Here is a 16,159-nt window from a genome sequence, read left to right on the forward strand (position 1 = left end):
TGAAACAGTAGGACCAATATATAAATAAATGTTTAAAAATACACTTTATATCAGTTTAAAATTGGTTTATTCTTTTTGCACCTATGAGATTACAATCAGTTCCTCAGAAGAATCTGGAGGAGAATCAGAATGTAATTTTCATTCTCTAACTTGTAACATGTTATTGAGAATGTTGTCTTATCTCCTAGGGCCTAATTTGCCTAATCAGTAGAATGAGAGACTAAATCAGTGATTCTCAAAGTGCGGTCCCTGGACCAACAAAATTAGCATCAACTACCATACTAGAAATGCATCTTTTCAAGCTCGATCCTAGACCTACTCAATTAGAAACTGAAGATGGGGCCTAGCAGTCTGTAATTCTGATAGACACAAAAATGTAGGAACTGAGGGCATCCCAAGAAAGGCTGGCTCCAGTGTTCAGAAGGAAGTCTACCTTTTTTCCTTCAGAACCATTGAGCTAGATGATTTCTAAGGTCATTTTATCTTAGCAGTTCTAGAACTCTATGACCTTGGTTTCTGGGGACATTAGTTCTTGTTTGCCTCTTTTTTTGTTTTGTTTTGATTTTTTGAGGCGGAGTTTCACTCGTTGCCCAGGTTAGAGTGCAATGGTGCGATCTCGGCTCACTGAAACCTCCACCTCCCAGATTCACGCGATTCTCCTGCCTCAGCCTCCCAAGTAGCTGGGATTACAGGCATGTGCCACCACATCCGGCTAATTTTGTATTTTTAGTAGAGACGGGGTTCCACCATGTTTGTCTGGGTGGTCTTGAACTCCTGGCCTCAAGTGATTTGCCTGCCTCGACCTCCCAAAGTGCTGGGATTACAGGTGTGAGCCACCATGCCCAGCCAGTTTGCTTCTTATCTTTGTAATGAATTCCTACAGAACCTTTTCAATGTCCTGCTAGTCCTGGAGCTGTTTACAGCCTGACCTCTTGATGGTTTCAGGCCCAGATAGTCTTTCATCTGGACATAGAGTCTTTCTCCTCATTCATGGCTTGTTATCTGTAATAGCTCCTTTCAAGCCATATTTAATGACATTTTAAAAGGTATTTTTTTCAGGCCGGGTGCAGTGGCTCATGTCTGCAATCCCAGCACTTTGGGAGGCTGAGGTGGGTGGATCACCTGAGGTTGGGAGTTCGAGACCAGCCCCACTAACATGGAGAAACCCCATCTCTACTAAAAATACAAAATAAGCTGGGTGTGATGGTGCATGCCTGTACTCCCAGCTACTCAGGAGGCTGAGGCAGGAGAATCACTTGAACCCAGGAGGCAGAGGTTGCTGTAAGCCGAGATTGCACCATTACACTCCAGCGTGGGCAACAAGAATGAAACTCCATCTCAAAAAAAAAAAAAAGTATTTTTTTCATCCTTTTCTTCTGTGTTTGTCAAAGATACTGTCCTCAGCCCACTAATTTTACAGTCTATATTAATTGTAAAGGGCCCAGCACAGTCTCGGTAAATTATAAACTCTGAGTGTTTCCTAAATAAACTGTATTTTACACAGCCGACTCTTTACATTGAGATGTAAGTGCAGCATAAGGGAGCACTCAAGAGCAATTAAAGCCCATATTTTCAGAAAAGGGAAATGACAAACTTATTCTATAAAAATAGGCATTTGTGGGAAAAGGAAATATTAATAAATAGTAAAGAAAATGTAGCTTAGACAGAGAAGGGGCTAGGGATACGTGACAGTAGTTTAAAACAAACAGAAAAACAAGAGATCTCAGGCATCTGCAATGGCCAGATGTAAAGCAGTGATGTTAAAGAGACATCATCTACAGCCCTGTCTCCCCAAAGAGATCCTCCTGCCCATAGCCTCCTGAACTAATCTCCATGACTGCCCTCCACACCCAACATGAAAGCCTTTTCCAAAAATGTTTCTCTATATTCAGGGACCCCCAGATGTCTGCTATCTTAGACATCTTGCTTCCGCATGTCATAACATTGCCTCCATTCAGACAAATGAGGAGCAACTTAGATCCTGCTGCTTCCCTAATGTGTCATTCTCCTTCCTAAAAGCTTGGTTTGGGTCCGTTATTCAGTAGCAGCACATGGCCATAGAATCTCTCTTCTGGTTTTGCACACTTTCTGCTATCTTTCCTCTTCCTTTGTGTTTAATCAGCCCTGTTGACAATATCCAATGTGTCTTTCTTATGTGATCTCTCTTGGAATCTCAGGATTTGAATGACTTTCATCGTAATGAAGGCTTCTGCAGAGTAATTGATTTTGACCATGAGTACCTGTTGAAGTCACAGCAACTTCTCCTTCTAGATTATCTTACAGCAGTGGACCAGACAGCAGTGCTCAAGAGAGGCAAGTATGTCTTTAAGGAAGCTTCCTGCTTGCCGGGGAAAGCTGCAGAGTATGTGGCATTCAACTGTCATGTCTACATCCATGTTGAAAAAGTCTTTCGGCTTTAAGGATAATCAACCCGCGGTACTCTTTCTTTAAATAAAGGTGTGTTAATGAGTCTGCATTTGGTGTTTTCAGTAACTGTAAGGTACAGGACCAAATAACAGTTGTAGTATTTTTAGCTTTACCTTTCATGTTCAGTAGTTATTCTTGAAATAATTTGAAACAACAACTGACCCTGCAAAATTTGATTTACCCAACCATACCTGGTACCAATATGGGAACTACAGCAAAAATTGCCACATTTGTGATGTGGCACAAGGCCATTTTTTTTCTGGAAGTCTTCATAAGAATAATAGTATTTTTTTAAGGCTACAAATATTTTCACAAGCATGATCTCATTTTATTCTTACAATGAAGATAGTTTGGACCCCTAAGAAATGTAGGCAAGCTTAATTAACTTACATATTGCACTGCAGTCTTTGTGAACAGTCTGTTAAATGCATTATTCAGCTGTCAGTGATTTAACATAAATGAAGTTATCTTGACCCACTGTATGCAGCATATGCTTTTAGGACTCTGGAGTTGCAAACTCACTGTCCACAAAGATGCATTACAGTCATTCTGCTGGTGTTTCCCAGTCTGATTTTTTATAATCAAAGATTTTGTTTAAATAAGGCTGTCCTCTATCTCTCTCCCTGAGCAGGAGGGACCCACTTCCAGTCACCTCACTCAACCCCGTGACAAGGTTTGGCTGCTAAATAGAGACAGCCAAGTAAAACAGCTGCTGTGAGTCCTGGCCCAGGTTTGCCAGGTCTTGCTATCTTTGTGTATTTGCATATGTCATTGGGGTATCCGCCCCTTTTTCCTCGCGTGAGAAGCTTGTGTTTCTATAAGTAAATAAATAATATAACTAACCCACCAGAAGAATAAACCACTCTGTCACAGATGGCAGAAAAAAGCTTTCCGTGTATCTCACCATTCCCTTAAGAGCATGTTTTCTTTTCTCCCTAGAAATGCTATCAAACAAAAAGTGGTTCAATACTGGCATCCTGTGGCTGGAGAGATTTATCAAATCTCTGAAAATCTCAGCTCCTTGGATTCTGAACATTCCCTGGCTGTCAGTTCTCAGCAGCCTTTCACCATTTTCCGAGTGCTATTTGGTTACCTCTCATTTTTCATGGAAACAACCTAGGTAAAATGCATTTTGATAGACTATCATTTTCACAGGGCTGATCTACTCATGCATTATCAGGGTAAAAATAAATGATAATATAAAGGTTTTGGAATTTTACCTAATGAAAGAACATGATATTAAATCATTGAACAAACTGCTCCAAGCAAAGGCTCTTGGTCTCTAAGTTCACATTGAGTTTCTCTCTAACAAAATGATCATAGAGTAGTTGGGAGAAGGGACAGGGCGCTGCTTCAGGATTTTGTTGTTTGTGCGTCTGTGTGTGAGTGTTTTGTTTTGGCCAAAGGCTAAGAAAATACTTCCTATTGCAGCAATAAATATTATGAATTTTCTTTATTTTACTACAAGAATGCTGCCTCAGAGAAAAATCAAACAAAATTACGGAGGACTGTTGCTTTTTGCTACTCACTTTCAAGGCAGCTATAAAGATAAAGAGTTACAATGATCGCAGTTTAAAAGCAGAATTGCCATGCTCCCTGGTAAGACTTAATGGCATTTTTGAGAACCAAATAACCATTATGGGACTACTCCATTGCTGCTAGTTTCACAAATGGCTAACACTAAATTTGGAGGCCTTGGAAATGTTCAAAACATCATTAGAGATAGAAAAATAGCAACAAACTTTAAAATTACATGAACACCAAAAGACATCAATGAAGGATCAAGCATGAAAACCGCTTGTTGAGATGAACTGACAAAGAAATAATACAAAGTACACACGTGCTTGTTAGCAAGAGGAAAGAACTATTAGAGTTGGCTGACTCCAAACAGGAGGAACAAAATGCCTGCTAAAGTGGGATCGAACAATGGCTTTGCTCTTTCATCATGCTCCCTTTCTTCTAGTCTAACTCTAGGACCACCAGCTCTTTCTTCCTCAATTCTCTTAATTTTCTGTGCTGCTCAGGGGTTTTAACTGTCTTGGTTAGTATGGGAGACAGACAGATTTCACAGCGATGAGTGCTAATCTATCCTAAATGTTAGCAATGAATAAAGCAACCCTAATGGTAAATGGTATTTAATAAGATCCCTTTTCCCTCAGAACAGGCTCTATATTTAGTGTCTAGAACACAGAAAACTTAAAAATATTCCACAGAAAGCTAGTGTGATCTGAGAAGAAATAGAGATTAAATACTCAGTTAAGGCAATCAGTGTGCCTGTGTCAGCCATAAAGCACCTCATTTGTATAGTAACATTTCTTTGGGGAAACAAAATCCAGATATAAATATTAGTATAAGATCTAAAGATGCAAAATTCCAATTGAATGCTAATAAAAGGTATTAATAAAACTCTGCTTTAAAGGACTGACTTCTCAATGAGTCTGCACAGCACACTAGAGATTCAATATGCATATCAAGGTTTTTGGTTGTTTGTTTTTTTAGTAACACTGGCATTATTTATTAATAATTTAACCAGAAATCTCCCCAAACTTTTAACTGGAATTTAAAAAATTAATTATGGTAAAGTAAGTAAATTAAAACAAAGAAAAAGTATGAAAGCTATGTTCTAAACTCACCACATTCACCAGCGAGAATAGATCTGCCCTTCTGGCTATATTTGTTACCTACCTATCTCTCTCTCTCTCTCTGTCTCTCTCTCTCCCTCTCTCTCTCTGTCTCTCTCTTTCCCTCTCTCTCTCTCTCTCTCCGCCCCCCCCACTTCCACAAGGGATCCAGTCTAGAAAGAGCATGAACTTAGAAGTCCAGCAGATGTGGGTTCAATTCCTAGTTCTATGGTTTAAAATACATACACTCAAAAATAAATTCTCCATTTTCCTGAGCTCTGGTGTTCTCATCTGGACTTGGGAATAATAGCACCTCACACATCAACCTTGTTGAGGATTGCTTGAGATGATCATGTAGGGGAGAGGACTCAGGAGAGCCTCTGACAGAGAGATATGCTTTCAACACAGGCTATTCATAAGCACCCTTCCTACCTAGTCATCTACTATGTTTTCTCCTCCCCCAGTTTAACTGGTCACCAAGTCTTGCTGATTTTTCCTTTTAGTATGTTTCACTTTCTCTCAGACCCTGCTGATACTGCCTGTCTTCAGAATCCCCCTCAATTCTCATCAGGATTGCTGCAGTAACCACCAAAGTCAATATTCTGTCTTCAGCCCCAACCTATCTTAATCCATCCTCATAACCCCCAGGGTGATTCTCCTAAAATATAAAACTGCCTGAGTTTGACTTTCAGCTATTCTACTTTATATCTGTATGACTTGGAACAAGTGACCTGAATTCTCTCATGCTATAATTCAAAGCCTATTAACTGGGGATAATAATTTTCCTACCTCAGTAGGATATTATATGAATTAAATAAAGTCTTGTTCCTCTCCCTGTGTCCATGTGTCCTCATTGTTCTACTCCCACTCATGAGTGAGGACATGTGCTGTTTGCTTTTCTGTTCCTGTGTTAGTTTGCTGAGAATAATGGCTTCCAGCTTCATCTATGTCCCTGCAAAGGATATTAACTCATTCTTTTTTATGGCTGCATAGTATTCTATCATATTTATGTGCCACATTTTCCTTATCCATTCTATCATTGATGGGCATTTGGGTTGGTTCTAAGTTTTTGCTATTGTAAATAGTGCTGCAATAAACATACGTGTGCATGTGTCTTTATAGTAGAATGATTTATAAACCTTTGGGTATATACCCAGTAATGGGATTACTGGGTCAAATGATATTTCTGGTTCTAGGTTCTTGAAGAATTGCCACACTGTTTTTCCACAATGGTTGAACTAATTTACATTCCCACCATAGCACATGTATACCTATGTAACAAACCTGCACGTTCTGCACGTTTATTCCAGAACTTAAAGTAAAATTTAAAAAAAATTAAATGAAGTCATACATGTGCACTCACATGTGGAAGCTGCTATTGTTCTCTCCATTGTTCTTGTTATTATAATCCTTCATGAGTCACCCTTCCTTTTAAGGTAGCGTACAGTCATAATGTTTAAGGCATTTGCAGGCCACTGCCTAACTCCCCAACAAATCTCGTGTCACTCATCAAGTTACATATTATGATATAAAATCACTAAACTGCATTCAAACTAGAAGGAAAATAATTAGGTTAGTAAAGGATTCAAAGAGAGATTAGGTCGATTAGAGAACTACTGATAAAATTTCATCTAAAACAAAGCTGTTTCTCCTAAGAAGTGATTACAGCAGCCCAAACTAATATCCAAAAGGATTCAACGGCTGTACCCTAAATGTCCTTCCTGCCAAAAAGCAGTTCCAATTAAAATGCCATAATGTTCTCAAATCAATTGTGCCACTTACATTTTTAAATGTTAAGTATATTATGTATGCACACCTTTATGGGTTTTCTACATGGTGTTGCACAATGTCCTGAAAGTATTTAAAATTCTTACCCGACATTATTCTAAACCACCTGGGTTTCTTGTCCCATATAATAAAGAGATAATACGCAGGGACTCCAGTCAGAGTGATGACGAAGCCAATCCCTGTACTAAATGGGTCCGAATAGAGGGAAAGGGCAACCATGAAGAGGCATGTGAAGGAAAACAAAGCTGGGATGAACAGTGGCACCTGGAACACAGAACACAAAAAAGTCACTTCAAACATGTTCAAGCAACAGAAGCTGGGTTTGAGATGAGCGTGTCAGTCATGACATATACTTTAGTGATATGCTGTAGTCATGCGACCAGGTAACAGGCACCAACGTGCCTTAGTAGCAAAATCTCTTTCATGGTGCACAGATAATGTATTAAACGTACTCCCTTAAATGTAATTCAACTTAATTTAAATTGTTTTTAAATCTTTGGCTAGAACAAACTCTAAGGACAAAAATGGATACTTTATTAGAGATGTTCTGTTGGAATTATTTTACTAGTTAAATGCCATGATGATTTATGGTTTTGATTTTAAAAGACTGGCTCTTTGATAATTATGATTAGAACCCACTTTAATGTGGAGTCAAGAGCACCGGCTGCTTGTTACATGTTAAAGTCTTTCAGTGCATATTGATTTTTCTGTTGAGATCCACAATAATAACTGACAGGAATAAAACAAGCCAACTCCTATTCAACCGCTAATAAAGATGCCACCAGCATTAGGCAATGAATATTACTAGAAACAAATCCTGACAACATGACTGACAACCTTATCTATGCCATTTCTTAAAAACAAATAAATCGTGAGGTCAAATCAATCCATGAGTCAAGTCTGAAGAAGATGACAAGCTTTTTCTCCAGTCCTCCAAAAGGGAGATGCTTACTTATGGTAAATGGGTATCAAGTGGTAAATTTGTAGATCTTCTCTTTCCCTGTATATTTTACATTTCTATTCTTTTTGGAGTGTATAATATAGAGAAAGAGCAATGTAACAAGTCACAACATTTAAGTACTTAAAATGCCTATTTTGTAAAGGCAAATTCCTTTTTGGAATTGGCATTAACAAAGTATCTCCCTTACTCCTCCTCACCATGGCTGTCCACAACTCTAGCATAAAGACAGACAGAAGTAGCCCATACTTTGAGTATATCAGGTCATTGAACACATTCATGAAAAATCAACATACCAAACATTCATTCATACAGTCATTTTTCAAAAATTTGACATACAAAGTTCAAGCCCATCACATAAAAAATTGGATCCACTGTTTTTTTTCCAACTTAAAATAAATCCAACAGGAAAGCACTGCCTGCAAGAGTTAAACATTTTTATTCCACAGATGCTGCCCCCAGCCCAACCTCCCCATCAGCAAGTTATGACAAAGGGAGGACTAGGTATTAGGAGAGAGATTTATGTAAACCCATCAAGATTGCTGAGGTTACCTTGAAAGGACGATGCATATCTGGGCATTTGTATCGAAGATAAATCAGCCCAGCAACTGCCAGCCCAATAAAAAGCCACCTGGCAAAACTGAGGAAATTCAAAAGACTGTCGAGGTCTCCAGAGAAGAGCATTATCATTGTCAAAGGGTGCTGAGGGGGGAAAGGGAAGCAAGCTTGGTGAATTCAGTGAAAACACAGATGATTAACAACAAAAACCTCACTATGCATTACGACCTTTTTCAAATAATTATTTATACCGATAAATTATCATCATAGTTAAAACTTGGATTTGACTAATCTCTTTTCTATATTCTGTTGTCATAATCCATTTACACACCAGTAACAGTATGAGAGTGATATGGCCATTATACTTTATTCAAGTGGAATTCTATATGAATGTTGTGTTGTGTTTTTAGTTCCTTTTGCATTTGAGAGAAGATAGTATGTCTTCAAAGAGTAAAAGAAAGGTTACTCAATGACTCAAAATTGAAAGACTCAAAGATTGAGATGATTAGTAAATAACCGATAATGAACAGTAAAAGAGGCCCAATTGGAAGATTTACAGAAAGCTCTGCAAATGCTCTCCGGTGAGCTCTTGGCTATCCACACCCAGGAAACACAGACACTCATAGGTGATTCTGTTGGCTCTTGATTGCAAAACATTGACCTTTTTTCCTCCACATTTACTCTCCTGGTGTGCTTGCCGTGTGTGACCCTCAAGACCACGGAGAAGAATGAAGCGCAGAGATCAGCTTAGCAAGTCTCTGCAGCTGCACATGCCAAGGACAGCATGACTGATAGCAGAGGCTTAAAATGAAAGCCCTCTTCACGGAATAATACATTCTGTTCCCACAAGTGACGTTAACATCCAGATTCTGCACAGAGAGTACACATACTTTAAAAAGAAATTTCAAGGAAACGTTCTGAAACAAATTAAATGCATGAAAAAAAAATGTTCAGTGCATTCTGTGGTGCTCCTGACAACAGACTCCAGTTGAGAGAAATGTTACAAAATCATCAGTAAAAATGAATATAACATTGCCAATGGGTATTTGAGGACTTTTACACCTCATACAGTCTTTTGTAGCTCACATTTCACACTTTGCTCTGCAGAAAGAATTTTACAACTCAAATTTACCTCGTGGTGCTTTTATTTTTATCCTGCAGGATAAAAGACACTTGCTCTCAAATGTCTCAAATGAATCATGGCACTGTCTAGGATTTTATCAATTGTTTCAATAATTTTGTGTGCATTTCATTATAAGGTGCCTAGATGATACATCTGGGTACTTTTTGGACTGTAGCTTTTTGCTCTACTTTCCTTAAGTCATTGGGACTTAATACTCTACATTCTTTTCTGTGAGGTGCTATGTCAATGAGAGGAGCCAAGCCAATCATTTTCCTTAGACCTTACACATTTCTGCAAAGATGAAAGTGAGGTGATGATGATTTTTGCCCCAAAGCATCAAAAAAAATAGGCATCAGAAACATGGAGTAAAGGGAAGAGATGGAAGATATCCTGCCTCCCAAACTCCACCATGACATACATTAGCAATGAATGAGAAAGTAAAATACTATCTAATGTCTGGTTGGAATTCCTTTTTGCTAACCTATTATTCAAGGTTATATCTAGATATACTTGTTAATATGCATTACCAAAACAATAACAGCTGGTAGAGGAGTGTGCTTGCGGACATGAATCATGGAGAGGATTTCTGGAAGGTGACCCTCTCGAGACGCAACATAGAATAACCTGATGGGAGAGAAATGTGGGTGGAGTTGACTGTATGATTGATCATTTCAAAGGGAAAATCCAAAAATCCCAGAGAAAACGTGCATCTTTTCATACCAAATGGTCAGGTATTCCTTAGGTGATTGCCTAAGTTCACTTTTCAAATAAGGTGGAGAAATATCATAGGAAATCTAAATTTGGATTTTACAAAATCTGCCAACATTATATTATTCTTTGAAGAGAAAGAATAGCAATATCTGACTCAGCATAGCTCTCTCTACATATAAATAGCTGATGGGAAATCTAGTTCTAGATTCCTAGTATTATATGTGTGTTGTCAATCCAATTCAACAAACACACACACATGCACATCCACAGGTACACACACCTATATGTAGCATTCACATTTATCTGATTGGCTTTTAATCGTATATTAAAACAAAAAGACTATTGCATCAAACTAAACAAAGGAAATACTGATGGTAGGGGTGGTGATTTCTGATGTCTCTTACTTTACTTTTTTCTTGGCATCTTCAGAGAAACAGAAAATTATATCACCAGAAATAAAATGCCATTGTTAGACTGTGGAAATACTATTTTTAAAAAAGCCACATGTCCGTCTTCCAAATAAGCTATTAATAGGCAAGCAGTGCCCTCTAATGGACAGAATAAAACGTGCTGTTGATACTTGGACCAATATTTCAATCTTGCATGTCCCTTTAAAAACAACAGGTTTGGAGGCACTATTTCTTTTCTTTTTAAAGTTATCCTTATCACATCCAATCTCAAAAACAGAAATGTGTTTCTGGAAATACATGAACTCACTCACCTGGAGACAGCAAACACACCACCGTTCATGGAGCCAAAGCAGGAGAGGGCAACAAAGATCGGAACTGCTAATGAGAAATTTCCCAGTAGCCGCTCAGAAAAGGTCTAGTGAAAGAAAGAACGAAGCAAATTAATGCCTTGCCAGAAAGTGGAATAAAATGAAACAATTTAGGCCAAACTTGCTCTATGACTTTCTATTAGCCTGGTGATACTTGTATGTTTTATAATTTCTCTCTTTGGTTAGGGTCAGACTAACTCCGTAGACAATAATCAAAAGCAAGGACCATGGCATTGCTTGTTGCAAAACTATAGTCAAAGATCTAAACAAGCACCTTCTCTCTACTTTCAAAAAGCAATGATCCATTTATCGAATCTTTATCAACTATGATGTGTATTGTCTCTGACTCTGACAAGTGATAAAAGCTCAAATCAGAAGTTCTACTGGAGATAGAAATCTTTCTGTATAATACGTTCTCTTTAGCCTGGAAAACCAAATTTTATATTGAAATACACTGAGAAGTATTACAGATATGTGTTTCATATGCCAATCCCATTCTTAGGAGGTAAATAAAATAATTGATGACTTAATAATTTATAGCATATACATGAGTAGCTCTGAAAATCTTTTTCCCAGAAAATCACACTAGCTAAATCTCTGTTTATAAAGTCCCTCCCTCCCCCTCATGTATGTGTCAATTTCTTTTGTGGTTTCCTATAAAAAGGCTAGAACACAAATATAAGTCCGATAAGCCACAGAAACTTAAAAGATAAACACAACTTCTAAAATGTTCTTTTATGCCATGATATGTGCGATATTGCAAATTTCCATGAAGGATGTATTTTCCAAAAAAAGAAAATGTGTTGGATTCATTAGTTGTCCTTGATGCAGCTGGTGCTATGCAATTAATGGGCCACATTATGCCCAAAGAATAAGTGCTGCCCTTTGTCTCAAAAGATGAGATGACTGACCTGACTTCAATAAGCTTTGTATATTTGATTGTCTGGTGGGACTTAGAGCAGTGGTCGAAGTCTTTTTCAATGTAGTGAACTCATACACAGGTTCAAATGAAATGAGATAATTTATTCCCTGTAGATGCTGCTGATATGAGGTAATACTAACTATTTTAAAAGGAACTGACATCAAGTAATGGGAACTTAACTTTTCACCATTCATTGTTATGAGGTCAAGAGTGAATGGTCTCTTACTAGCTAAGTTTTATGCAAAATAAAAGTGTATCACAGAATAACAGTCTTATAACATGATCTTTGGGGACAAAGATGGTCCTAGTGTCAAATAAATTTTGGAAAATGCTATAAAATTATGTGTATCCACTTCTTAGGGAGTTCAAATGCATGTTGGTATCTTTAATATTCTGAGAAGTATTATAACAACATCGGTTTAACTTTGAATAACCCAGTATTTCCTAAATTTATTAATATCGCAGGACTAGTATTCAAAAGGATATACTAGGAAAACCAAATTTATATGGTCCACATCAAAATTCTTAAGTGACACTTGGGGAAAGGATTCTGAGTTCGCATATGAAAAGTTTACAAACAGGAAAGTGTACAGAATAAATTGTAATTTGCATAGAAAAAATGCATTTATTTAGATTCAATAACTGTCCACCTATCTTTAAAGACATGCTGGGAGAATAAGCTTTGGCAGATTTTCAAGCATGTATGTGTGAAACTGTTTTATAAGAAATTAGAAATAATGGGAAATCATATAGGAATTTAGATATATCAGTTAAATGGAATATGCTAAGGTATGCTCTAAATTTTTTAAATATTCACTATTATTCAGGTCAAGAAAAGATTACTGAATTTCAAAACACTTTCTGCTAGAGGGAACTACTATAAAATTGCATCAGCTCATTAACCTAAATTCCAATTGGCATTTTCCCAACTTGGACTTACCACTGCCACTGCATTTGAAAGCAGCAGCTCCTCAGCATTAATGGTCGTAAAGTAGGCCACATTTGTCAGCACATAGCCAATGGTGACAATGGCCATGGATATACATATTGCAAGGGGAATGGTTCTGAAATGCACAAAGGAATCACTTATTCATTATCTTTTGTTAGCCATTCTCTGATACCGAAGAAAATAACAGGCTAATTCAAATGAAGAATATAATGGTATCTACAATAATTATAGGCTCTGTTGGGTATGTATAAACATTTCATCAGGGCAAAAAACCACATATTCCTTTGTAACTTAATAAGGTCCATGGGGGCAGATACTTCGTCTGTCTTGTCTATTGCTATACCCCAGAACATATGGATTTATGTCATTCATGTACTCCGTAAATGCTACAGCAGTGTTTCTCATACTTGAGATGCATCAGAATCACCTGCAGGGCTTGTTAAAACACAGACTGCTGAGCTCCACCCCACAGTTTCCAATTCAGTAGGATCTGCATTCCTTATATGTTCCTAGGTGATTCTGAGGCTGCTGATCAGGCCACACTTTGAGAACCACTGTCCTATAAACATTTCTAATACTAATTCACTGCCTTGACACCTTTCTAACACTAGTCCTTTAAAACACTTTTCACATTCAATGTTTTTTCCATCAATAGCTTTCATTCCCACCAAATAAACGCACACTTTTGGAAGTATGATAGTGGGATATATCTACCTTTCTAAATGTGGCCATAATTTTGTATATAAGACAAGAAAGCACAGAAGTGTTCACAATAATGACTTTGCACTGCCCTGCTGTGAGTTCAAAGGAAGCTCAAGATCGTGAGTATCTAATAATGCAACAGCGCAGATAATCCCATGAAATTAGAGGTGACATGCTGTGAAGTACGGACGACCGGACAGTGCTGACATTATGTGGCATCAAGAAGTACCCGACACAAATGCAATATTATGTCTTCATTTAATGCACTGGGAAAGCCAGGAAGTTACTGACCCTAATAATTTGATTCCACGTTACCAATACACATTACTTGCTTAACATAATCGCCTCTTCAGACTCTCTCCAGTTCAGGCAACTTAAACCTTCAACTGCCTGCACAAAGGCTGATCGTTTTTCAGCCATAGTGCTTATCAGCCCTCACGGAGCCTTCACCCTGCTGGGTGCCACTAATGAAGACCTCAATATAATTTCTTCCAAGATGAAAATGCAGTTCAGAATCAGGGGGGAAAAGGCACAGCCTGCCTCACTACCCAAGCTGGGTGTTTTTAGCACACTAAGTCCCAGCACATTATACCGAACAGCGATATCCCCTGTTGAAAACATGCTAGCCTAGCCAGTCAGCAACTGTCATTCATTATGCTGCTTGGAGCCTGACACTTCCCCGGATTCCCAAAGCCTTCAGCCTTGATGAGGAAACACATTGACCTCTAAATCCTGACATCCTAATATGAAAGTAGCAGATGGTCCCCTTCCCTAGTGTGAAGAGGGTCCTGTGGAATTTTCTGTTAACACTATAACATGCACTGCTAGTTGTGGTTGATAAATGCTACATTTAAGTAAAGAAAATCACTGAGCCAATCAAATATAAAAGGATAAATGGCATAAAGCAAATTAAAGATGAATTCTGTTTCTTCGTAAGAAGGGCTATTGTAAATGCAAAAGGGTAAGAAGGAGAACATGAAGGTGTATACACAGCTTTTCAACCACTCAGTGTATTATTTTGACCTTGAATCCTTTCAGCTTTTATAAGATCCCCATATGGGGAGTAAATTCTTTCTATGGAGGAGAGAGGAAGAGAGGAAAAGAAGAAGAGAAAAAGACTCTCTGTTCCTTGCAAGCATATGCTTAAGGTATATAAAGTTTCCATTGATAAAAAATGAAGTGACATTATTAATTGCAGTGAAGTAACCTATCCAAAACAGAGAGTACGGTCACATCACATGATGCTGCAAAATAGCAGAAAGAAGTAAGTCTGAAATTTGGGATTGTGGCTCTCCCAGCATAGAATTTACCTTCCCAGTCCAGCTCCTCCAAGTCAGCCCCCTGCCTGTTTCCTGCCTAGACATTACAGTCTCTCTGAGGGCCGTTTCCTAAATTGATCTAAGCAGAAGGGAACCTAGAAAATCTAACCTTCTAGGTTGGTTTCCCTTCATTCTGTTTGTTAATAACAAAAATAACAGGAGCAGCTGCTACCATTGGGCTGCTATGTGCCCAACATTTTATTAGGCACTTTACATACGTGTCTCCTTTTGTCCTTAGAAAATTCTGTGAGTTAGGAACATCAGCACATTTTATATATGAGAAAAATAAAGTCTTCGAGAGCTTAAATAACTATTTAAGGATACACAATTAGTAAGTGGAAGCCCCAGAATTCAGGTGCATACACACCCTACCTTGAAATTCGGGCATTTGGACCACCAAAGTGTATTCACTTTCAAGCATGTGGGTCCCTCAACTCTATTACTTTTAAGGAAAATCATGGTTGTTTAATATAAAGTTTATTAGAGCTTTTATCAAACTAGTATTTCTCATGTATTCTTTAACACTACAGTTTTATCTATCATAAAGAAGGGGGCAAACTGATTTCATGATTTTTATCACTTTTCTGTGTAACATGAATTGTAATGTCAAGTGAATGTTTTCAAATCGTTTCACTGTTTGGGAAATAGAATTTTAAAATTATGTATTATTTAAAAGAAAACAGAAGCTCACAATAAATTTCCCTAAAAAAACTTTTTTTTATAGAGAAGGAGGGAAGGTAACCATGCCTCAGATAAACAGAAACAGACTAACAATCTTACTATCAGCCAAATATACTACACAGATATTAGTGAGAAAAATAACAGCTTAAAATATAAACAAAGGAGAAAGAGTCTAATCTTGTTGCAATGCACAGCATATCCAGTAATTTCTCTATAATTATTCTTTTTTAAAAAAATTTTCTTTTTTTTTAAGATAGAGTCTCACTCTGTCGCCCAGACTTGAGTGCAGGGGCACAATCTCAGCTCACTGCAACTGCTGCCTCCCAAGTTCAAGCAACTCTCCTGCCTCAGCCTCCCAGTAGCTGGGATTATAGGCACCCATCACTATACCCAGCTAATTTTTTTATCTTTATTAGAGACAGGGTTTCACCATGTTGGCCAGGCTGTTCTCAAACTCCTGACCTCTAGTGATCCTCCTGCCTCGGCCTACCAAAGTGATGGGATTACAGGCATGAGCCACGACGCCCAGCTGATAATTAGATGGAATTAAGCAATAGCAAGTTGGTTGGGGTATGGCAAAATAGCCACTAGCTTCCATTCTTAGGTTCCATTTCACTTTGAC

The 16,159-nt window shown here is 38.0% G+C and overlaps 1 protein-coding gene and 1 long non-coding RNA gene across 3 annotated transcripts in view; one reads left to right on the forward strand and one right to left on the reverse strand.

Moving 5' to 3' along the window:
- SLC7A11-AS1 (SLC7A11 antisense RNA 1) overlaps positions 1-5,883 on the forward strand; it is an 89,164-nt gene extending 83,281 nt beyond the window's left edge. The window contains exons 6-7 of the long non-coding RNA NR_038380.1: positions 2,178-2,313; positions 3,367-5,883. This is a non-coding gene — a long non-coding RNA (SLC7A11 antisense RNA 1). The remainder of the gene's footprint in view (positions 1-2,177; positions 2,314-3,366) is intronic.
- The window catches only part of SLC7A11 (solute carrier family 7 member 11), a 78,253-nt gene that overhangs the window by 8,198 nt on the left and 53,896 nt on the right, over positions 1-16,159 (reverse strand). The window contains exons 7-12 of one of the 2 annotated variants that reach the window (XM_011531802.4): positions 12,827-12,950; positions 10,908-11,011; positions 10,003-10,099; positions 8,347-8,496; positions 6,923-7,100; positions 51-2,493 (exon numbers count right to left, since the gene is read on the reverse strand). In XM_011531802.4, coding sequence (XP_011530104.1) covers positions 2,417-2,493; positions 6,923-7,100; positions 8,347-8,496; positions 10,003-10,099; positions 10,908-11,011; positions 12,827-12,950 — 730 coding nt within the window. In that variant the 3' untranslated portion in view covers positions 51-2,416. Of the gene's footprint in view, positions 1-50; positions 2,494-6,922; positions 7,101-8,346; positions 8,497-10,002; positions 10,100-10,907; positions 11,012-12,826; positions 12,951-16,159 lie in introns of those variants that run through there. The other variant, NM_014331.4, reaches the window with a different exon arrangement.

This window comes from Homo sapiens, chromosome 4 (genome assembly GCF_000001405.40).
Source record: "Homo sapiens chromosome 4, GRCh38.p14 Primary Assembly".
Taxonomy (NCBI): Eukaryota; Metazoa; Chordata; class Mammalia; order Primates; family Hominidae; genus Homo; species Homo sapiens.